Source organism: Homo sapiens, chromosome 12, assembly GCF_000001405.40.
Source record: "Homo sapiens chromosome 12, GRCh38.p14 Primary Assembly".
In the NCBI taxonomy this organism is placed as follows: Eukaryota; Metazoa; Chordata; class Mammalia; order Primates; family Hominidae; genus Homo; species Homo sapiens.
In genome coordinates this window covers 103,517,008-103,541,650 of record NC_000012.12, presented here as the reverse complement: position 1 = coordinate 103,541,650, position 24,643 = coordinate 103,517,008, and the positions used below count along the sequence as shown (strand labels likewise).

At 40.6% G+C, this 24,643-nt stretch overlaps 1 protein-coding gene across 10 annotated transcripts in view; it reads left to right on the top strand.

Annotated features, from left to right (window-relative positions):
- C12orf42 (chromosome 12 open reading frame 42) overlaps nucleotides 1-24,643 on the top strand; it is a 516,167-nt gene that overhangs the window by 22,140 nt on the left and 469,384 nt on the right. For 2 of the 10 annotated variants that reach the window (XM_011538306.2, XM_047428802.1), the window contains exons 1-2: nucleotides 16,405-16,422; nucleotides 17,436-17,539. The exons of 1 other annotated variant lie outside the window; for it this stretch is intronic. In XM_011538306.2, coding sequence (XP_011536608.1) covers nucleotides 17,504-17,539 — 36 coding nt within the window. In that variant the 5' untranslated portion in view covers nucleotides 16,405-16,422; nucleotides 17,436-17,503. Of the gene's footprint in view, nucleotides 1-16,391; nucleotides 16,423-17,435; nucleotides 17,540-24,643 lie in introns of those variants that run through there. 7 more of the 10 variants (XM_011538312.3, XR_001748690.2, XM_017019281.2 and 4 more) reach the window with 7 other exon arrangements.

Here is a 24,643-nt window from a genome sequence, read left to right as displayed (position 1 = left end):
AAGTACACTTTAAAATAATGATAAAAACATAGCATAGCAAATAAATAAACCAGGAAAAGTCATTAATTAACATGATCAAGTATTATGTACTGTATATAATTGTATGTGTTATACTTTTATACAACTGGCGGCACAGTAGGTTTGTTTATATTAGCATCATTACAAATTCATGAATAATGAGTTGCACTGTGACATTAGGATGGCTATGACATCACTAGATGATAGGACATTTTCAGCTGCATTAAAATCTTATGGGACCACTTTCATATATGCATCCTACCATTGACCAAAATGTCATTATGGGGAGCATAACTCTATGTGATTAATTTGAGATAAAGACAACTTAAATGGGAATTCTGTAATTTATATGGAAATCTTTAAAATAATAGAAATAGTGATTGTAACTTCTAAATCAGTAGAAGAGAAAGGAGAATAAAGAAAAAAATTAGCTGGGCGCAGTGGCTCACATCTGTAATCCTAGCACTTTGGGAGGCCGAGGCTGGTGAATTGCCTGAGCTCAGGAGTTTGAGACCAGCCTGGGCAACATGGTGAAACTCCATCTCTACTAAAATATAAAAAATTAGCCAGGCATAGTGGCATGCACCTATAATCCCAGCTACTCGGGAGGCTGAGACAGGAGAATCGCTTGAACCCGGGAGGCAGAGGTTGCAGTGAGCCAAGACTGCACCACTGCACCTCAGCCTAGGCAATAGAGCAGGACTTCGTCTTTAAAAAAAAAGAAAGAAAGAAAGAAAGAAAATTCATTCAATTCAGAGGAAGGCAAGAAAGAAGGAAAAACTAAACACAAAATGTGAGGCAAATACAGAGTACAAAATAAATTGGTAGAAGAAAACCCAAATATAGCTGTCATTGCAGAAAATTAAGTGGTAAATGTTCCAGTTGAAATATAAAGACTGTCAGACTGGGTTTAAAAAAATACAGTCACATGCTATTTAAAAGAGATAAACTTGAAGCATCAGGATACAGAAAGATTGGAGATAAATGGATAGGAAATGATATAGCAGGCCACAGGAAAGCTGCGGTTGCAATATTAATAATTTTAGACCTGAAGGCAAAAAACACTATGAGAAATAATGAAAGTTACTGCATAACAAGAAACGGCTCAATGTGTGGGAAAAATATAAACATTCTAAAGGTGTATTCGCCTAGCAACATACCCTCAAAATGCACAAAATCAAAAGTAACTACAAGGAGAAAATGACAAATCTACAATCATACTAGGGATATTTTAACACTCCTTTCTTAGTAATTGATAGATCAAGTAGACAAAAGTATCAGTAATAATATGGAAGAATTAAGAAGTGCAGATGAGAAACATGACCTCGGCCGGGCGCGGTAGCTCACACCTGTAATCTCAGCACTTTGGGAGGCTGCGGCAGGCAGATCATGAGGTCAGGAGTTCGAGAACAGCCTGACCAACATGGTGAAACCCCGTCTCTACTAAAAATACAAAAATTAGCTGAGCATGGTGGCATGTGCCTGTAATCCTAGCTACTCAGGAGGCTGAGGCAGGAGAATCGCTTGAACCCAGGAGGCAGAGGTTGCAGTGAGCTGATTGCTCCACTGCACTGCAGCCTGGGTGACAAAGCAAGACTGTCTCAAGAAACAAAAACAAAAACAAAAACAAAAACAAAAAACGACCTCATGGCCTCATGTTCAATAAAGTATGAAGTAAAAAATTGTCTCAGAAGATTACGTTTAGCATGTCACCTTTTTATTAAAGTTAAGAAAAATTAAAAATTAAATATACAGGCCAAGCGCGTTGGCTCATGCCTGTAGTCCCTGCACTTTGGGAAGCCAAGGCGGGCGAATCACGAGGTCAGGAGTTCAAGACCAGCCTGGCCAACATGGTGAAACCCCGTCTCTACTAAAAATACAAAAAATTAGCTGGGTGTAGTGGCAGACACCTGTAATCCCAGCTACTCAGGAGGCTGAGGCAGGAGAATCGCTTGAACCTGGGAGGCAGAGGTTGCAGTGAGCTGAGATTGTGCCACTGCACTCCAGCCCTGGTGACAGAGTGAGACTCCATCTCAAAAGAAAAAAAAAAAAATTAAACTTACAATTTTAGGAACGTACATACATGACATAAGATATATTTTAAAAAGTAAAGGTATGATGAAGACAAGATTCAGTATAATGATTATTTCAGATGGGAAGAGGCGTGGGAACAGAACTGGGGAAACACACAGGTAGATGTAGCTTGTCAGTATTCAAGTTCATGCATTGGATAGTGGTTGATAGGTGTTTTTTCCTTATTAAAAAAAAAAGAACCAAGCATAATATTAATCCAAGCCTGTGCAATTGATTTTATGCACACATACCCACACACACACACATACACACATGCACAGATATATGTCTAGAGATGGACTGCCTAAACTCAATTCTCACTCTGCACTCAATGTCTTTGTACTTTGCCTCCCTCCTTTGTAATATGGAGGTGATAATAATTATGTTTATTACATCATGGTAAACATTAAATGAACTAATACATTTGAAGTCCTTAGCACTGTTTGATGTATGTGATGGGATCCATAAATGTTAGCAATTGTTATTCTTACCTCTGAGAGAGAACAGAACTTTTGGATATCCTGTGCTTCTGTTTCATTTTGCTCTATTTGTACTCGTGCTTGCCTTCTTCGCTTTTCTGAGATAAAGAAGTACTCCTCCCCCTCTTTAAGGCCCACCCCTTCACTCAAATTCTGAATCTCATCCCCTTCCATTATCTCAATGTCCTCATTCCATAAAATGCCCTGCTCTCTCTTGCTTCCTCAGTCTCCTTGGATCCATAAGGATTTGGCCAGGAAAACAGAAACCACTCTAGGTATTTCAAGCAGGGAGAGATATAATACAGGGACTTGGAGGCTCACAAAAGTGTTGGAAGGGTTGGGTGTGGGAGGGGGGCAAAGGCCAGAAAAGCCATTACTAGCTTTCAGAAAAACAGTTTATCCAGAAATCACAGAAAAGTGCCACCAATGATCTCAGTAGTTGAATCACCCAAGTGGATGATTCACAGGAAGATGCCTGGAGGTCTGACAAACTTTATGCCAGTCCTTTGCCATTCTTTGTTCCCACAGAGGCAATAATGACTTCTACTTGTCTTCTGCCTTTTCAATTTTGTGCCAGGGCCTCTCATTGGTGAACTCTAAATGGACACCTTCTAAGGGACTCTGAGAGTTGTAGTTTCCAGGCCTCCAGCCCCTGAGACAGAGGAAAACGTGGAAGGATTGGGGATGAATGCTGCTTGTCAATAAAATAAAATGTAAACAGTATCTGTTACACTCTTCCTCTCTACTGCATTCTTCCATCTGTATTTTAACATGAGCAAATCTTTTACCTCTTCAGCAAACCTTTCTGGATTCCATTTTTCTTCCCAGCTAGCAGCTTAGATATCTCTCTTCTGCTTTACTAGAATTCTTTTTGGAAAGAATGCACATCCATTTTCACTTTCTCACCTCCCAATTTTTCTTCAACTCATTTTCATCTGGCTTCTGTCCCCACAATCTCCCTGTGAATGTGGAACAAGGTTATAAGTGATCTCTTGTGGTTTAATCTACTAAATACTTCTAAGACTTTAAGCTTTTTTCTTTGCAGCAGATATTGGTGACTACTCTCTTCTTCATAAAGTTGTTTCTTCCTTTAGTGTCTGGAAAAACTGGTATACTGGCATAATTTTCTTTTTACAAATTCATAATAGAAATACAGCCACAAATCTCCCTTTTTAAGATAAAACTGCCTCATGCTTAATTAACCGGAAATCCATTATCTTTTTCTTGAAGCTGCTAACTTTATATTATCCAACTATTCTGAAGGCTTACAAAGCCTAAGTTGGGGGAGACCTGGTGTCTGCTTAATCCATTACTGCTATTGCTTCTAGCAGCCCCATGGAATGTTTGTCAGAGACTGGGGCTATAAAGAATGTGCTTTAGTTCTTCCAAGGAGAATGAGGTCAGTCCTTCAGAAGGAAGGGCTAAAGGAGGTTGAGGATTCCATAGCTTTGACTTCCAAGATGGTAGCGCTCCCCTTTCAGTCCTCTCTACAGCCACTTCTCAGCACTTCTATATAGGAAAGACTTAGGAATTGCCAAAAGATTATGGTTGTGTTTGATTATGGCTGCAGTTTTGTGTTGGTAAAACTCTTGCAAGTCACCACTTTCTTGGTGTCAGCCAGCTCTAGAAATATTGAACCAGATTTGTTCTGATATACTTTAGTTCTATGGAAGTCAAACCACAGTTTTCTCTTTCTTCCATGGAATATGATAGCTAGGGATCCCTCGGTTTAATAGGTGTTTTTTTTTTCATAAACCTTAAGAACGCAAACTATCTGATTTGCAATAACTACCCCAGACAATGGAACCACTCACCAACCCTTCTGAAGGAGGCTATCTTTGAGATTTTCTGGAAAATTCTATTTCTTTCTCTTCTGTGCTAGAACTGGAAGCTGTCTTTGCTAAAGGGAACATAAATAAAAAACACCATGTATTATTTCTAACAAAATGAAATACCATACCCTTCAGATTCATTCATTCATTCATTCATTCAGAAAATAGTAATTGAGAATGAGCTATGGGCCAGGCACTATATACTAAGTCCTGGGGCAAGAGTAGTGAATACAATTAAAAAAAAATCCCTCTGCTCTCATAGGGTTTTCATCCTAGCAGAAAGAGACAGACAATCGCCAAATTAAAAAAGGTAGACACTATAGCATGTTAGACAGTAATAAACACTATACAAAAAATAAAAAAGGGGGATAGGAACATATAGGAGAAACTGGAATTTTAAGGGCGGTAAGGGAAGGCCTCGCTGATGAGGTGGCATTTATTGGGATGGAAGTTTAAAAGGTGGGGAGTCACCTGGGCACTCTGGGCTTCTTGTGGAGAGTGACAAGAGCAAAGGGAGAAAAGGAGAAAGGACATAATGAGATTGGTCCTTCTGTCTCAAATGCAGTGGTGGTCATCAGGCTATGGATGTTGGGGTTGGTTTCTTGCCAAGAGCTTGTGGCACCCTTCTCTTTCATCCCAGTTGTTGGACATGTGATGGCTGGGGGAGGGATGGTCTCATCCTTCTTGCCAATGTCTTACTCCTTATTGAGTTCATCTTTAAGGCCTTCTCTCCAAAGTGCCATCCTCTACACTATTATCTTTTCATTCTGTATATTTTCCCTGGCTACTCTTATTTATGGCCATTGCTTCAATTGACATCTATATGTTAAAGATTCCTAAGCCTAAATCTCAGCCCAGTTCTGTTTCCTGAGATCGACACCCATACCTTTCCCTTTACCTGATATTACCACTTAGAGAGCCAAAGACATTTCAAACTCAAGATGTACAGATCTAAATCATCCCCAACCACCCTTACTCTTGTGTTCCTCTCTCAGAGAATGGTCCCATCATCTACTTTGTTGCTTAAGTTAGAAAACTGAGGTTCATTATTGACTCTCATCTTTGACATCTAACCAGTCCCCACAACTGCTCCTAATCCAACCAACCACCTCCAATCCAACCAACCTACCAACTATCAATCAATTCATTCTTACAATTCCTTATTATCAGCCAGGCATAGTAGTTCATGCCTGTAATCCTAGCACTTTGGGAGGTCAAGGCAGGAGGACCGCTTGCTGCCAGGAGTTCAAGACCAGCTTGGGCAACATAGCGAGAGAGCATCTCTACAAATAATAAAAAGTAATTTGTTGGAGGTGGTGACATATGCCTATGGTCCCTGGCTACTCTGGAGCCTAAGGTGAGAGGGTCAATTGAGACCAGGCAATCTAGGTTGCAGTGAGCTGAAATGGTGCCACTGCACTCCAGCCTGGGTAGCAAAGTGAGAACCCATCTAAAAATAAAAAAATTCTTATTATCTCACAGATCTACTTCCCTCCATTCCCACTGCTATTTTTAGAGTTCATGTCCTCAACATGTCTTGCCTAGATTATTTTTATGGCTTCATATAGCATCTCATCCTCCAGCTTTGCCTCTCTCCAATCCATTCTCCAAGAGATAGCTATTTTGATTTTTTTGAAGAATAAATCTGATATATTACCTCCCTACTTTAAACCCTTTGAAGAGTCTCTCTTGCCCTTAGAATAACATATAACCTCCTTAGCCTGGCACACAAGGCTCCCATGATCTACCAACCTCTGTAGCCTCATATAAGCACTATAGCCACACCCATAATCCCAGCTACTTGGTGGAAGGTTCGATTTAAAAAAAAAAAGCTGGGTGCAGTAGTTCATGCTTATATTTTATACTTATATATAATATAAGTTATGCTTATATTTTATACTTATATCTAATATAAGTTATGCTTGTATTTTATACTTCAGTCTTGAATGTCTCACAGTTCCCTGAATGGGCCTACCATACCCAGTCTTGTTATAAAACTATCCTTTCCATCTGAGGCAACTTTTCTTCCCCTTTATTATGTGAACTGTACCAAACTTTCAGGATTTAGCTTCTCTATCCCTACTTTCTGGGAAGATTACTCCAAAATGTTGGCCTGCCATAGTCTCTCACATTCTGGCAGAGGACACAAGGCTCTTGGGTCAGAGACAAGGGAAGGATTACTAGAAATAACAGTAGACAAAGTATCACTGCTTTCCTGCCCTGATTTCCTGAGCTCAGTCTCCATAGATTGAGATAATAAGGGCCAGGTGATACTTGCACATGTTGTGGTTGTATTACAGGAAAGGAATCCCGAGCTTAGAGAACCTGAATCTTTCTTATTGGGTTGCAAGCAAACACTTACCCCAGGGAAAGACATTATCTTTATCATACTGAACAGTAAACAAACTTGCCTTTTCTTCTAGAGGGAAATCCTATTTCTGTCTTCCCAGGCTGTTGGCTATACAAACATTTCTGAAAAGATAGTCTGAGCAAAAGGGCAGTTAATGCTTCTGCTTGCAAGACATGCAGAGTTGTGAGAGACCCATAGAGAACCGTCTCACCCCACTTATTACCGGTTACCATAATTGCTTATTCATTTCATATTTTCTCCAATCATACGGTAAGTTTCTTGAGGAAAGAAGACAGTCTCCTTTCATTGCTGTATCTTTAGGACAGTGACAAGGGCATAGTAAATGTGAAGTAAGTATTTGTGGAATGAATGAATGAGCTCATTCATTCTACTTGTGACACAAGGTTGGGAGTGAAGATCCATGACCAGCTCTTCATATCCGAGGCTAGACTCATACCCAGAAAGTAGTACTGGGGATTCCTTTTATGGGTCATGGATCCCTTTAGTCTCGCTTGGCATGTAGTCAGCAGCACAATTGCAGGAATAGGAAAACAGTGGTAATTATGATGTATCTCCACATTTTCTTCCCTTTCTTCTCTTCCAGAGCATGTAAGCATGTGAGCCTCAGAAGAATTTCTGTGGTATTTATTTGAGTTTAACTCTACCTCTACACAGCGATTGGCAGATATTTTTCGTGTATGAAAAAATTTTAAATAGCCATCAAATAATTTTGATAAAACAATAATGCCCACAAGAATGTAAGTTCAATGAGGATAAGTATTTTCAGAGATATAGGTCCTTAATCTATTTTTGTTGATTGAATTGAAGAATTTAATTTGTTGAGCACTCACTGTATGCCTAAGCATGGGGCTAAGCACTTAATATACTTCATTTAATTTGTACAATGACCACATGAAGCAGGTGCTGTATTATCCCCATTTTGCAGATGAGGAAACCGAGGCTTAGAGAAATTAAGACTTGCCCAAGACTGCACTATTGGTAAGTGCTGGGCTAGTGTTTAAACCTAGGCAGTGACTCCACACAAAGCATTTCTCTGCCCATGAAAGTGCTATCGTTGAAAGGTTATCATTTATCAAAAAGAAGGAGAATAGCATATAAACCTATGTTATTTATTTTCAGTGGATTATAATCTGGTTCTGTGATTTGAAAATTTGTAGCTTGGTGAATATTGTGTGAATCACCAAAATCAAGTTGCAGACATTTGACCATTTTTGACCAACAAAAATGTCAATTTCATATATTTCAACATAAAATATGTGCCGCAAAAGTTATCTCAGAAAATGTTGCTTTCAAATGTAGCTTCAGAACATTAACTATCTAGAATACAGTGTGAGCTTTGGTTCCCCAGACCATGCCTGGCATGGCAGTTTTACTGTTTACATAGACCCGGGGGTCATCCAGAGGACATTTTTGTGGAAAATTGGGACCAGAGAGAAAATGTGTCTGAGCTGAGACCCATGAGGACCAAAAGCACAATGGACGAGAGCAACCAGAAAGACCACAGTAGCTGTTGAAGATACTGAACTAAAGAGAATCAGATTAGCTGGAAGGTCTTCTGGGGTACTAGCAATATTCAACTTTATACTGCCAGAATGAATTCCTGTCTGGGAAGGGACAATTTAAGAAAATTCAAGTTCCCCAAAACTAATTTGCTGTTTTCAGCAATGACAAATTCCCATAGTATTTGGTAAGTATAGCAATTATTGAGTTAGAGGACATAACCACCATTGTTGCAAAAAGTTAATGCTCTCGACTAAATATTCATTTATATCGTTAGTATTATGAAATGCAGCCGGAGAATGTTTAGAAACTCACTCTGCTGGTGGAATGAGTCTGAAAGGAATCATATTCTGTCAAGGACTGAACCGTAGGGTGAACTTTTGTGTGATTGGCATTGGTTCCAGTCATGCCAGCAGAAACACAATTCCCCGTTGTCTCCGTGATCCGCGCTTCACCTTGCCTGTGGGGCAGGGGCGTTTTGATGTGACCTCTTTGAAGACTCGACTCTGTGTCTGCCCTGTTGTTAGAGGAGGCTGGCAAGACTGACACTTCTGTAATGGTTACGGCGGTCATCCTCATTTTTGTATATTTCATCATACAGTTAGTAGGTCACATATACTAATGGTAATTTAATAAGCATATCATGCAAATGACACAGGACAGTGTTTGATTTTGTCATGGAGGTCATAGATCTGAGAGTCAAAAATATTATACATAATTGTGTCAGAAGTTGAGAATTAAACAAAGTAAAATAGAGCTATTTTTCTTTCTTATTAAATTTTCTTTAGTTTAGAACATGACTTGTGATACATACTGCCAATCAAATACATGTTTTTTTTTCCAGATGGCACAATATTGTTTTACAATTTTCTTGTATAAAATGTTTTAAATACAAAGTAGGTATAAAAGAGAAAGTAAAATGCTCACCATTCAGGGACAACCATAATCAATATTTTGTACATATTTCTAATCAAAGCATATAAATAAGTCCATTTATAAAACACATTGAGATCATACCATACACAGTTTTGGTATCTAGAGTGTTTCTACTTTGTATGTTATAAACGTTTTCCCATCTTTAATACATATTATTTTCTCACCTGGTTTTTCACGGCTGCACGGTATCCATCATGCAGATGGGTGTGAAAAATTATGGAGCTTTTTATACCCAGGGTGTAGGGAGAAGCACCAGGAGTTAGAAGATATAGCTTTAAACTTTTGTTCTTTGAGTGCCTCAGTTTCTTCAACTATAAAATGGAGATATTAACATTTGCCTGGCTGCCTTGCATAAAAGTTAGGTGAGTTTCTTTGAGGCATAGAGCAGAACATGATAGCAAGGAATTTTTATTTAAAGGTGTGTTTATGCGACATGTTAAGGTTTTACAGATAGGCCATTGCAGCAGAGTCTGCCTTATCATTTGGTCTTAAAAACAGAAAAAAGCCAACAAAGATCATAATCTAAGTTATATATAAACTGTAATCCCACAATGCTTCATAATGCAGTTTTTAAAGTTTAGGTTAAAGCAAAACTCTTAAAGAACCAGCATGCCCTTTTAGAAGGGATTTGTCTTCAACCAACAACCTGTGTAACCAACTGAAGCACCAATCTGGAAATATTGCTAGGGCCTTGGTCTTTAAACAAAATCACTGATGGGCTTTGATACTGGATGGGAATTTAGAGAGGTCTCTCAGATTCTAGGAATTGATATATTTTGATGAATGTGAAGTTTTAATATTTACCAGGTTAATATTCTCTTACCCAAAATGTAATGAAAAGGACTTGCTACTCAAACCTCTGAAATCATGAGCTGGGAGGAAATCCAGTGATCTCAATATCTCTGGTTCCAAGACCCAACTCTTTGCTTTCTTTTGACAACAGAAGACCCAGATTAGAAAAACTGTATTCAAGGGAAACAGCCCTTGATTCTGTGCTACTGCTATAGGCAGGCTTCATGGATTATCCTAACATTCTGACAGAAGGGTAGGGCTAGCAAGAAATTGTGCTCTCTTTCTTACCACATGCACAATTTTAGGACCCTTTTTGATCACAACTCAGGATGTGGCAGGTTTTATAAAAAGAAAAAAAGATTAAAAAATGGAAGCTTAAACTCTCTACACCACTGCCCAGCCTAAAAGTTAGCTGGCACATTATTTTTAATGTCATCAAGAAACTCTCTTGTGGGGAATACATATATATCAATTTTCATTGCAGAGAAAGACGATTTTAGGACTGGGTTACAGATCCTTCAAGTTGGAGGAGATGAACTTGATGGATTCTGCCTCATTAGTCTTACAGTGATGTTTCCCCCCTTTTCTTTGAGAAATATGTCCCCTGGAATTGTTGGGCAATGTGGGAAAATATTGTGACAAACATTCCTGTTTATGTGTGTCATGGGGGCGACTGTTTTGTTTGCATCGCTTCTTGCCTCTGCCCCTCCTTTTCATGGTCAGCAGTTCCCTGACAGCTCAGATTCCTCTGCTGACATCTGTTATAATGAGAGCTGTGGCGGGAATAGATTTGCAAAATGATGGGCTCACAATAGGACAGAGCTGTTCCCCAAACTTTCCTTGAGGTAAGCAGATGGGGTCTGAAAATAGAGCATTTGAACCGATTAGGTCTAGGTGAACGAATTTATTCAACACACACTGAAGAGTGATTCTGCACCCAAATTCTTTCCCTATCTCCTTCACCCCTCACCTCCCCCATCTCACCAATAGGAGGGTTTCCGATGGTGTGGGTTTTCCCCCCCCGAACACTTGCCGGGAGACAGGCCCTTCCAGTTCCTAAAGCAGAAGCATGCTGGGTATTTACCCTGTGCCAACCGTCTGAACAACAGAGAAAACCCACCCCTCATGCCTCATAATGAGAAGCTGGGGCAACACATGGGGCTTTCCCACTCGTCACAAATGATGGCTGTTTGTGCTAGTTAACCTTTTCTAAGCCTGGGTCAGCTCCTGCTGGGAGGCAGGGGCGATCTGGAGAGAGTGAAAGCCTGGCAGACCCCAAAGTCTCCAGCACGCCTTGGCCCCCAACACACGCCACCGCCTTTGCAGAATGCCAAACGATCCCACATCACGCTCTTCATAAGTCAGCCGGGCTCCATGTGCAGCTGACAGTTCGGATTCCAGAGGAGAACTGCCTCCAGGAACACTCTGCAGATACTTCCTGATAACTTTTATTTTCTGGCATAGCTTACCTTCTCTTTTCAGAGGAATCTCTAAAAAAGTACGAAATGGAAATTTTCCCATCTTGGGCCTTATTATTTTCAGCAATCTCCACTAGCTGTGTAAAGAGAAGACTTCTTTGTACTTTCAAAGCCTAAAGTCAAGTCAGTAATACACATTTTAATAACTTGTGCCTTAAGCGTATTGACTAAAGCAAAATGAAGACAGGGCGATTAAGAAATACACTCCTAAGCCCCATTCTTTTGGTATCTGGGGAGAATTCTGAAAGTGTCATGGGGGAATGCTATCTAATGAAGTATGGGGGAGGAAAGGCAGCTGAAAGGGAAATTTTGGAAATCTCTTTGGGGGTGAGGGAAACAGAAGTTTAAAAATGATGAAAATTCAAAGCCCAAGTTGGGGGTTGATTTTGTCTCACCATTGAAATAGCCAAACCTCATAAAAGGAATCAGATGTTGCAAATTGCAGGTTGAAATGATCAGTGGAAATGCATTTATCACAGCTGCCAGGTTTCTGAAGAGCAGAACTCATACCCTGTAACACACTCCAGAGAGACCCAAACAGTCTGTAGAGCTCAAATTCTCAAATCCCGCCATCCCTGACTATCTCCTGCTGCCAGCCCAGACCTGTGGATGATTGTGTTAATCCAACACCATCTGCTAATAGGGTGGTATTGTTCAGAATGGTGTGTTTATGTGGCAACGGGTATCCTGAGAAGGGAGGAGAGCCGACGCACTGTTGAAATAGTTCATTAACCACAAAAGCAGTTAGCTGTGAGAAGCTCTAATGCAGAGCTGCTACAGCATTTACAGGAATGGACAAAGTCTAACATTTCAGGCATTACATGCTGAGGAAATCCACCTTTGAGTTATATCCTTGCTTATTTAAAAGCAATCCTATGGGCTCCATTAGAATTTACTATTTGCAGCTATTAATAACGGTAAAGAGAGGAGTAAAATAAGTGAACACAAAGGTTGAGATCTTGTGCTACTGTTCATTGTGATGATTTGACACCAGATGCCGATACGTGGATAGGATTCACCCCTATTTTTAAGTCATGCTCAGGCACCTGGAGGATGGGCATTTATTGGTTTTCATGGTATAGTTTGCAATGGCGTTTTTTTTCGTTGTTGTTTTTTCCTTTGGTGCACACTCTTATACTACTTTGGAAACATTGAATGGTAGAAACAACATGGGTTCAGGGACCAAAAAGTTTGAATCTCTGCCCTACCACTCACCGCCTCTGTGATTTTGAACATGTTTCTGAAATTCTCTGAGCCTTGGTTTCCTCATTGTCTAAAACATGGACAATACTTGCCCCAAACAGTTATTAGAGGATTAGGTAGAAGAATGTCTGTGAAAGCATCCAGTGTAGCATTTGGCACAAAGTTGGTGTCTTCATTTGGTGTTGCTATAAAGGAATACTGGAAACTGGGTAATTTTTATAAGGAAAAAAACTCAAATTTATTTGGCTCGTGATTTTGATGTCTGGAAAAGTTCTAGATTGGGCATCTGGTGAGGGCCTCAGGTGGCTTCTATTCATGGCAGAAGGCGAAGGGGAGCTGGCATGCAGAGAGAGCACAGGGTGAGGGAGGAGGCAAGAGAGAGGAGGGGTTGCTGCCTGGCTCTTTTTAACAGCCAGCTCTCTGGAGAACTAACAGAGCTAGAACTCCCTCACCACACACTGAGTGGGCACTAATCTATTCATGAGGGGTCCCCCTCCATGACCAAAATCCTCCCAATAGGCCCCACCTCCAACATTAGGGATCAAATTTCAACATGAGACTTAGAGGGACAAACATCCAACTATAGCATCAGGCAAAGGAATTTTCCCTTGACTGTAGTCTCTTTCATGCCAATTCACAGCTCAAGTACTACTTGTAAGCTATATGACACTGGTTGGACCTAATTGAAATTTGTCTGTTGCTTTCTCAATTTTTTTCTTATATCTATGTCTTCATCTTCTCTTCCTGACTTCTTTCATGAGCAGAATCTATATCTATGTCTATATCTATCCCTATGTTTGGCATTTGTTAAATGTTCCATTTCTTCTACCATTCATTCATTGATTCATTCATCCCATGAAATCTATTACATGCCTATAGTAAGCCAGTATTGCAAAAGAAGTATAACTAAAGTCTATATTTTTTGGGAGCTGACAATTTGGGGATAGAAAATATGATAGCTGCCTTCAAAATCTGAATGGCTATTGTGAAAATTATGAGTAATTAATGGGGCAAGGACCCCGTTTTACTTATCCCATTGTCTAAACCCAGAGCTCAGTCCAGACATGCCTTCATTGTATAAATTTAAAAGTTAAAGAACAGAGATGATATTTGCTTAGTGGGTAGAAGTAGGAGCAGTTGATAACAAACACTGGATTTCATATCAGCATAAACAAATTCTAACATTGTGAAGGCATGTGGTCTCTCTTGAGGAGGGGTGAAATCCTAGCCATGGGTGGTTCAGGTTCTGGCCCCCTGAGAGATGTGGAGGAGAGGCTGCAAGCCTAACTGGGAATTTATGGTCCCTTCAGCGACATCTGCATAGCTATGTGTTTGTAGGCCTGAAATACTGATTGTATCAGGAAGGAAGGAACAGGAAGTACCAGAAAGGAAGAGAAAAACCTACTCATGATAGCATGAACAATAAGAGGATTTATTAGCTCATCAACAATATGTCAGAATGAGGGAAACTCCAAGTTGGTTTCTGTAGAAGCTCTATAATGTTGACAAGCACCTAGTGGGCACTAATCTATTCATGAGGGGTCCATCTCCATGACCCAAACTCCTTCCATTAGGCCCCACCGCCAACATTAGGGATCAAATTTCAACATGAGATTTGGAGGGGACAAATGACAAGATTCCTTCCATCTTGTCATTCTGTAGTCTTTAGCATTTTTCCCTCAGAGTAACCCCCTCATGCTTACAAGATGGCTGCCACAGATCCAGCTCTCAAGCACAGACATGTTCATGTCCAGTGGCAGAAAAGAAACCATTTCTTTCTGAAATTTTTTTGGTAAGGAAATCTTTCTCAGAAGCCTTTCAGCAGACTTGCTTCCCATCTCGTTGCCCAAATTACAATGTATACCAAATTTAACCAATCCCTGACAAGAAGAAGAGGACCAGCCCATAGGCTGCCAGAAGTCAATTGGGTTCTCTGAGTAAGAAAGAAGAAAAGTAGCTGCTGTTGAATGGGAACCACTAACGCCAAATACAGACAGCCTGTTGCAATGAAGAAAGCACAAGTTTTGGTTCTGTTCTACTGTTTGGTAGCTGCGTGATCTTGAGTGTACTAGTCTGCTCAGGCTGCCATAACAAAATACTGTACATTGGGAAGCTTCAACAATAGAAATTTATTTTCTCAAAGCTGTGGAGGCTAGCAGTCCCAGATTGAAATGCCAGCTGATTCAGTTCTTGCTGAGGGCTCTTTTTCTTGCCTTGTTAACAGCTTTCTTTTCCCCGTGTCTTCACATGGGCTTTTTCTGTGCACATGGAGAGGGAGCATGTCAGGATTGAGCTTTCTGGTGCTTAATGATTTCCTTGCTTCAAACATAGTCACATTGGGGGTTAGGGCTTGAACATATGAATTTTGGGGAGATACAATTCAGTCCATAGTATTGGGAAAATTACTTAACCTCTCTAAGCCTTTCTTTCCTATCTCTGCAAATGGGACTAATCATATACACCTCCTAGTGTTCTCCTGGGGATACAATGAAATAACGACACATATGCTGAAACTTACCCCAAACCCTTGAGTTACATTAGTTTACATTTTGTTCTTTTCACTCTATCAACTAAAACCAGACAACTCGTGCAATGATAGAAACTTTGCCAAATCACATGGCTTTCCATAGTGCATATTGATTTTAAGAATTGAGTTCTGGTTTCTGACAACCAGAGTAGCTTAAATATGCTTAGAAAAAGCAAATAATGCTTTATTTGCCTGAAGATTATATTATTTCTTCTCAAAGTTAATGTGGTAATTTTATTACAAAAATATTATTAAGGATTCCCTATCATTCTTTCTTGAGGATTAAAGGGAATAAAATTGAAAGCTCGGAATAGTTGAAAGATAAAACACATGTGGGTGATTGGTTTCTTGCAACTAGCAGAGATGCTTAAAAGAGCAGCCTCTGAAGGCAGATTTTGTTTTGTTTTGTTTTTTTTGAGACAGAACTTCACTCTTTTGCCCAGGCTGGAGTGCAGTGGTGCAATCTTGGCTCACTGCAACCTCCGCCTTCGGTTTCAAGCAATTCTCCTGCCTCAGCCTCCAAGTAGCTGGGATTACAGGTGCCCACCACCACGCCCAGCTAATTTTTGTATTTTTAGTAGAGATGGGGTTTCACCTTGTTGGCCAGGCTGGTCTTGAATTCCTGACCTTGTGATTCATCTGCCTTGGCCTCTCAAAGTGCTGGGATTACAGGCGTGAGCCACCGCGCCTGGCCTGGCAGATTGTTTTTACTGGATGCATCATATTGACAAAATTATTTGACTGCTGTAGGTGTCAGTTTTCTCATTTGTAAAATTGTAATAATACTACTTTAATTATAATAATATTGATACTTATAATATTTTGCTAATGGGGTTACTACAATTAATTATAATAATACTGTTAATAATAATATTTTACCTCAGGGGTTGCTATGATGATAACTTGGGTTAATATTATACATGAAGTGCTTGGATCAGTGCCAAGCTTGATCCATCATCACCATCATCAACATCACATCATCCACAAATAACACTCTATGAAACAACCTGTAGCCAAATCTTTGCATTCATTGAGATGGATTCCTAAAGGAGCTAAATTATGGTGTCACAATGCATTTGTCACTCAGCTTCTTTAAGATTCCAGAATTTCATAGCCAGGTGTGGTGGCTCATGTCTGTAATCCTACTACTTTGGGAGGCACAGGCAAGAGGATCACTTGAGTCCAGGAGTTCAAGACCAGCCTGGGCAACATAGTGAGACTTCCCCCCGCCCAATCTCTATCAAAAATAAAACAAAATTAGCTGGGTCTGGTGGCACATGCCTGTAGTCCCAGTTACTTGGAAGGCTGAGGCAGGGGGATCACGTGAGCCCAGGAGGTTGAGGCTGCAGTGAGCCGAGATTGTGCCACTGCACTGCAGCCTGGGTGACAGAGCAAGATCCTGTCTCAAACAAAACAAAACAAAACAAACAAAAAACAAACAAAAAAATCTCCCCAGACCTGCCCCCCTGCCCCCCCCCCAAAAAAACTAAAAAGAACAACTTCCAATTTAGTTGGGCCAGCCATGTTTTGTGACAACATTGCTTGGAGTCAGGAGAAGATAACTCTGATCAAAACCAGCTGCAGGTCCTGTGATGCTGAACTTTTCTTGTCACTGTGATATCACAGGCATGCCTGAAAGTGCTTCCTGGAGGTGTCCTGTAACTGTCTTGGCACTTATGTGCAGTCAATCTGTTGATGGACCTCAGAAAACTACCTATGTTCTGCCCCTTAGCAGCTATTCATCATGGGCTACCTTGCCAGGGAATGACCCAGGGCATTGTGACAGATCAGTTTACTTAATGGATTACACATTTCAAATAACTTGAAGTTGATTTGGTCCAGCCTGACTGTGTTGCTGGGCTGATCATCATTCTGATAAATGACAAGGTTGCTGCGTTTGTTCCCTGGTGATATTTTAGAGGGAGGACTTGCCCAGGGTTTAGCTGTGCTTGGTGCTAATGGAGAAGGCACGTGGAGGCTTGGGAAGCAGGTCTCTCTGGTTTTGGAACACAAAGGACACACACAGAAAACCTGACCAGGCCCTTTTTTTTGCCACCTCTGTGTGCCTCAAGGCAGCGTGGCTGGAAACGATGGGAATCTGTTCTTGCCAACTCTTTGATTCCTCCTTATAGGACCAAGCTCTCTTCCCTGGCAGAAGGATGAAATTGGGGCAGCTGGAAAGACTCAAATAACTGAGCTTGTCTCCCCTTTAATCTTTCTTTGTAGGTGAACTAGAGGCCAGAGAACAAACAGGTGATAAAAGAGCAAGAAATCCTTGCAAAAGGATAGGCAGAATGCATCTTAGGGGCTGTGAAAAGAAGCTAAAGAAGGTCAGATTCTGTTACACCTTAAACCCACTTAAGCTGAGCAAGGAGAAGAATTGAATTAAACTGTCAGAAGGGAAATTTTTCCAGGAGCAAGGGTTGGATAATGACTATGCTTTACCCAAAGTGTACAGCACTTGGCATGTCCCCACATGTCCCCAACATGCCTATTCAGTGAGTGAATGATGGCGACAGGAAGGGCTCACAGGCCTCCATCCTGATCTTAGCTCCAACACTTATCTCTATGGTCTTGGGCAAGTTCCCTACACATTCTGAATCTGTTTTCTTACTTTTAAAGGGGAACTAATAATACCTCTTTTATGGGGTTGTTGAAAGGTTTAAGATATATATATATATATGAAAGTGATCCTCATATTCCAAAAGCTCTACAACACCTGTTTTAAGTGATATGAAAATAAAACAATGCTGTAATTGCTTAATGATAGCTTCTAAACACCGAGTGTCTATATATAGACACTACATATATATACATATATAGAGTATATATATGTATATATGAACTGTATATATATACTGTATACATGAACACTATATATACATATATAGAGACATTTGATGTTTAGAAGCTATCATTAAGCAACTACAGCATTGTTTTATTTTAATATCACTTAAAACAGGTGTTATAAAACTTTTGGAATATGAGGATCCCTTTCTAATGTTAATGTAATTTGCAGATACCCTTTAAACGAGGATACTATTATTGATAGAGAAGACATATAATGGCCAAAAGCTATAAAAAATCAGTAACATTTTTAGAATGAGTTTTTATTTGATGAATTGAAACAGCATGTATACACATAGGCTGTCTAAAGAAATGATGAGACATTTATTCCCTCTCCAGACAAGGTACAGTGATTATATAAACTATTATGAGCTCCCACAATAGCTCCATAGACCGCCAAGTGACTGGGACCTACTGGTCCAAAAGGATTAAATTCTAACTATAGATGAGCATCTTTAAAAGAGAGGGCTCATTTATCTTAGCTATTGATATTAAGCTAAGTTAGATGTAGCAGATGGCCTTGCTGCACAGAGATGGCTCTTCAGACTGACATCATTCAATCTTGGGATTGTTTTTCCCTCCTTGGGACTTCTAGGTTTGTGCTTACTAGCCACAGAGCCTGCTAGACACTGTCTCCTTCCATAATCCTGTAACAATGGGACTTGTTTCCAGGCTGACCTGTTGAGTCTAGCAGAGTAGCCTCTGACTGTGGAAGTTTGGCTCCCCTGTGTAATTTCTTCTGCCATCAAAACCATTGTGGACTTGCATCTAAGTAGAGTCTGAGATGAGGACTTGTTTGCAGGCAATATATTTTGGGAAGTAATTTCAAGGTGCAGGGAGTGAAAGCCCATCCAAGGGTGTGTTATTAGCTGGTTACTGTTGAGGGCAATAGGAACACAATCCTGTTGGTGACTCTCTGAAGAGCTGTGCAGAATATACCTCGAAATAGTCTCCTGAGACATGAAAGAGGGGGGCATTCTAAAAATCAGCTCCCATATCCCAATGGTCGAGGAGTGCCCTATGGAATGTTATCTCCCATTTCCTTCCAGGTTTGCACGTGTGTCAGGATGGCTGGCTGGGGCTGTGCTGGAGAGCCATGAGAGATGAGGGTGCTGTTGAGGTGCAATGTTGCCAAATGGCTCCCGGGCATAGCTGGTGTTACAGAGAGGGCCGGGACAAAAAGCCCAGCTGTATTAGTCCATTCACATGTTGCTAATAAAGACATACCCAAGACTGGGTAATTTGTAAAGGAAAGAGCTTTAATGGACTCACAGTTCCACATGGCTGGGGAGACCTCACAATCATGGTGGAAGATAAAGGAAGAACAACCGATGCCTTACCTGGTGGCAGGCAAGAGAGAATGAGAGCCAAGCAAAAGGGGAAACCCTTTATATAGCCATCAGATCTCGTGAGACTTATTCACTACCATGAGAAAAGTATGGGGGAAACAGCCCCCATGATTCAATTATCTCCACCTGACCCTGCCCTTGACATGTGGGGATTATTGCAATTCAAGGTGAGATTTGGGTGGGGACACAGCCAAACCATATCACCAGCCAAGGGAACATGAGGTGCACAAAAGGTGCCAACCAGGAGACAGCACAACTGAGGGGAGACAGAATTAAGGATCAGGTCTGGTTATCCATTAATGTCTTTTGAGCACCACTCTGTGCTGTTAATATATCGACTTAAGCACATTTAAATTTTAGAGTTTATTTGAGCAGACAGCAATTCATAAATCAGGCAGCACCAAACTGCAACTGGTTGGGGCTCCACTGAGTGGGAGAGGGGAAAATGTTTATGAGGTGTTAGTGGAAGCAAGACAAAGACGATATTTCATTGACTAAAGTAGAAAGTCCCTAGTTAGAGGTTAGTGGGTAGTTTCTCTTTTTTAAAAATTAAATTAAATTTTAAGTTCTAGGATACATGTGCAGGATGTGCAGGTTTGTTACATAGGTAAACATGAGCCATGGTGGTTTGCTGCACCTATCAACCCATCACCTAGGTATTAAGCCCCACATGCATTAGCTATTTATTCTGATGCTCTCCCTCCCACCACTCACCCCAACAGGCCCCAGTGTGTGTTGTTCACCTCCCTATGTCCATGTATTCTCCTTGTTCAGCTCCCACTTATAAGTGAGAACATGTGGTGTTTGGTTTTCTGTTCCTGTGGTAGTTTGCTGAGGATAATGGCTTCAAGCTCCATCCATGTTCCTGCAAAGGACATGATCTCGCTTTTTTAAATGGCTGCATAGTATTCGATGGCACCTCTTAATCCAGTCTATCATTCATGGCCATTTGGATTGATTCCATGTCTTTGCTGCTGTGAATAGTGATGCAATGATTGGTTAAGTTTGTTTTGTTTTCCTAGGCTATGACTATTCCACTCTGGGTTCAGTTTTAGTTGGAACTCAAGGTGCTGGAGCCATCTCAGACTAATGGTCCCTGAATTAATTATTTCCACAGTGCCATACGTTGCGTTAGCTGCTGGAGCTGAAAAGTTTAATGCAGCACAGTGCATGCCATATCCTACAACCTATAGTACATAGAGCATGATGACATGGCAAAATAAAGGTGTTTACTGTCTAGGAGGGAGACAAGCACTATAGTAGATGTCAGCATAAAAGCCTCTCACAACTTGGAAGGGAATGACTAATTCCTTCTGGAGTTTTGGGGGAAGGCTTCACAATGAAGGCAATAAATAATTAATTTGGGTCTTGAAGTATGAATAGGAGTCCATCATGTAGTAACAGGGAGGCAGGACATTCACACAAGAGAGAGACAGATGAGTGTCTGGACTGGGCATGCCCATGAAGTCTTCACAGTTCCATTTTTTTCCTTAATAGCTTCTGGCTCAGGCCATTATTTCAGTTAAGTTTTTGTTAGTTTTATTTTTTTTTTCATTATGTTTTTGAGACAGAGTCTGACTGTCAACTGGGCTGGAGTGCAGTGATGTGATCATAGCTCACTGCAGTTGTGAGTTCCTGGGCTTCGGTTATACTCCTTCCTCAATCCCCAACAACTAATTTTAAAAAGATTTGTTGTTGTTGTTGTTGTTGTTGTTGTTGTTAGGGGCAGAGGTCTTATTATGTTGCCCAGGCTGGTCTCAAACTTCTGGCCTCAAGCCATCCTCTGACTTGGGACTCTCAAAGTTCTGGGATTACAGGCATGAGCCACTGCACTTGACTTTTATTTTTTAAAATAATAAAAAATAGATATTCTGGGAGGAGTGTATATTATAAGGTTACATTTAGGTAAACAGAGGGAACACACAGGAGGTATTTCACAGGCCAGGCTGATGATCTCAACACTCTGCCCCTGGGGTCCCAATAGAATGAAATTGCCCCATCACCACTCTCTCCTAATGTCCTCGCCTGGGACTACATGTGCCCAGGAGTTGTGGGTAGTTTGTTCCCTTATAAGGGGTACAGGCACACCATACATCATGGCTTTCCCTCTTCTATGACCACCTATTCTGAGTCTTGTGGATCATTCATATTCACTGCTCACCCTCCACGTTAGTCAAGTGGGACTTCTTTGTCACTTTGAGGAATGCCTGTGGCCGCTCCAGCATTTGCCTCATCCCTGTTTGCATCCAGACATCTCCCTGTGGTGCCCATCTCGTTCCATCATCAGAGTCCAATGTCCTTTGTCTTCTTCCCTCCTCTTTCTGTAAACTTGCTCTCAGGATGAGCCCTCACAACCACCACTTCCATCTCAACATGGGTTATTCAGATCCATGACCTTTTCAGCCTCATTCCTCATGGCTGGTTTCTGGAATTTCCTGACTCCAGTCATCTGTGGGGAGATGTATGTGGGTGGCTGGGAGGAATTTGTGTCTGGAAATGGGTTGGAGGGGTAGATGGAGGGGTGAGGGGCTTCCTAGGACCATGAAAATGACATGGATAGGCAGCCTCTTTCTCCATTAAAGCACAAGGCCATGTTCTTATGTTTTTTTCTGTATGGGCCTGATATTTATTGTTTGCTTATTGTAGTCCAGGTTTGTGCCCCCTTTCCAAAAATGTCATCACATTAACTAGATGAGAAGTACACCATTCTATTCTGTGGATGAGGAAATAGACCTAGAGGGTTAAGTAATTTGTCCAATATTATATAATTTCTAGGTGCTGAACCAAGATTCCATTCCAGGCAGTAAAAACATATCTATTGAGATGAATTAAATTACTGTCTGCTTAGTACATGGTACTAAGTATCTAGTAAGGTGAACTTGGTGCTTTGGGACATAGTATGAAGTGTAGACTTTAAATCAACTCTCAACACATGACTAATATATTCTTCCATTTTCATACTGCTATAAAGAACTGCTCGAGATTGGGTGATTTATAAAGGTAAATGGTTTAATTGATTCACAGTTCTGCATGGCTGGCAAGACCTCAGGAAACTTGCAATCATGGCAGAAGATGAAGAGAAAGCAAGGCACCTTCTTTACAAGGTGGCAGAAAGGAGAAGTGCCAAGCAAAAGGGGAAGAACTCCTTATGAAACCATCAGATCTCATAAGAACTCACTCACTATCATGAGAACAGCATGAGGGAAAACACCCCCATGATTCAATCACCTCCACCTGGTCTCTCCCTTGACATGGGGGGTTACGGGGATTACAATTCAAGGTGAGATTTGGCTGGGACACAAAGCCTCACCATATCAACTAAATGCAGAATCTGGATTTCAGAAGGGATTTAGGTTCAGATCCAGATTTTTATTTCTTAGTAGTTGTGTGATCTTGAGTACGTTATTTAAATAAACCTCATATTGTAAAGATGGGAAGTAGGATGTAAAAGAAATAATAAAGAGATCAGGATGCCTGGAAGGGAAGGTTTGGACAGAAGAAATACGGATTAAAAAAGATAGATTGGAATTCATAGAGGGTTTTTGTCATTTGTGGCTGCCTGCTATGTTTGAACATTTCTCTATACAGTGTGAAAGTTTCTAACTTTATATGTCCTTTTCAAGGACATATTCAGGGCAAAAACACATCTCTGGACTCCCTTGTACCTGGGATGCAGGTGTGTGGCTTAGGTTCTGCCAGTTGGGACCACCCATATAAGACTTGATTCAGAGGATAAAAATGTCGTCACATGTGGGAGTTTGCCCTACTTAAGGGAGAGTCAGTCTTCTGGGCATGGCGGGGGCAATGGTGTCCACTTCATCTGGGGCATTGGCAGAAGAGTTTCTGGCGTCTAGTCCCAAGGAGGATTGATGCTGAATGGTGGTGGTAGTGACATTTCACTAGAGAATCCAATGGGATGGCTTGGTTTCCTGGCTAAATGGCTTCAGTTTCTGGCTCCTTGGCCCTCAGATTCCATGAGCTACCTGGCTTCTTTTAATACATTCCTATTCTGCTTAAACTAGCCAAAATATATTCTGTTATTTGCAACCAAGAACTCTGACCATACATCAGTAGACTGTGGCAGGCCTGTGAGCCAATTGATGGCTTGAAGTTCAAAGTAACATCTGTGTATCTTCTCATGATTTACAATTTCTGTAACTCTTATATTCTGATAAACGAGTTTTAATTTCTGCTGGGCCTTCAGTGGCATTAAGATATTCCTACTGCTTTTTGAATATTGCTCATATTTTTTCACTTTCTGATTCATGATGTTAAAAACAACCACAAAAATGGAGTTATAATCCATAAACATGCCAGCAATTTACACACTCCTTTAGAAAAAAGAAAATAAAAAAATTAAAATTTTTTATTTTCTGTGGGTTTTCTTTCAAATCTTAAAAATGTCCTCTGTGACTCTTTATAGTTTTATTCTTTTCTCTGAGCAGCGCCTTGCTAAAAGCCATCAAGGAAAGCTAAATGCTGGAGATGGGAGGTTGATAACAGAGAAACATAAGCAACATACAATCCAGTTTGAGAAAAAAGACATTCTCATTGAAAAAAAATAATTCAAAGCATAGCTCAAGGCAATACACTTCCCAAAGGCCATCCTCTCTTGTACCACTGTGGTGTCTTTTAATAAAAAAAAATCAGAAAAGAAGTGTTGGTTCATCTAACTCTCCAACCACTTACCTAAAAAGGTCTAATGTAATTTGTGTAATCCATCAGGTGGCTCCTGCCACTCTTTGAACTTCAGGTGGACTGACAACATTTCATGTTTGGCATCAGCAAAGGCATTTCAAAGGCCTTTACTATTTATTCTACCCAAATCTCATGGGTAAGTCATCCAGGCTGCAGACTGTATGCTTCTCAATTCATGGTGCGGTTTCTGCAGGGATGTTGACTCACAGATGGAAGGGACAATGTGGATATGTAATTCTGATTAATTCCTAAACTCGTTTGACTAGCGTCAGTAGAAAAAGCAACTTGTCTGCCTTACCCAGTAAGTTCTCAAGTATACAGGCTTGGATGTATATGTGTTTACAAAAAAACCAAAAACCAAAAACCAATACACAAAAAACACCTCTTTCCCTGTGTTTTATCCTATCCAGCTGCTCCATCCCATTGGTCTTATTATGTCACCAACCTGATTTTTTGCCAAAGTTCTTCCTTATGTTGACATGTTACCACAGTGCAGAGAATAGTTTTAATGCACAGCCTAGTTTAAGCAGCCTTGTTTGA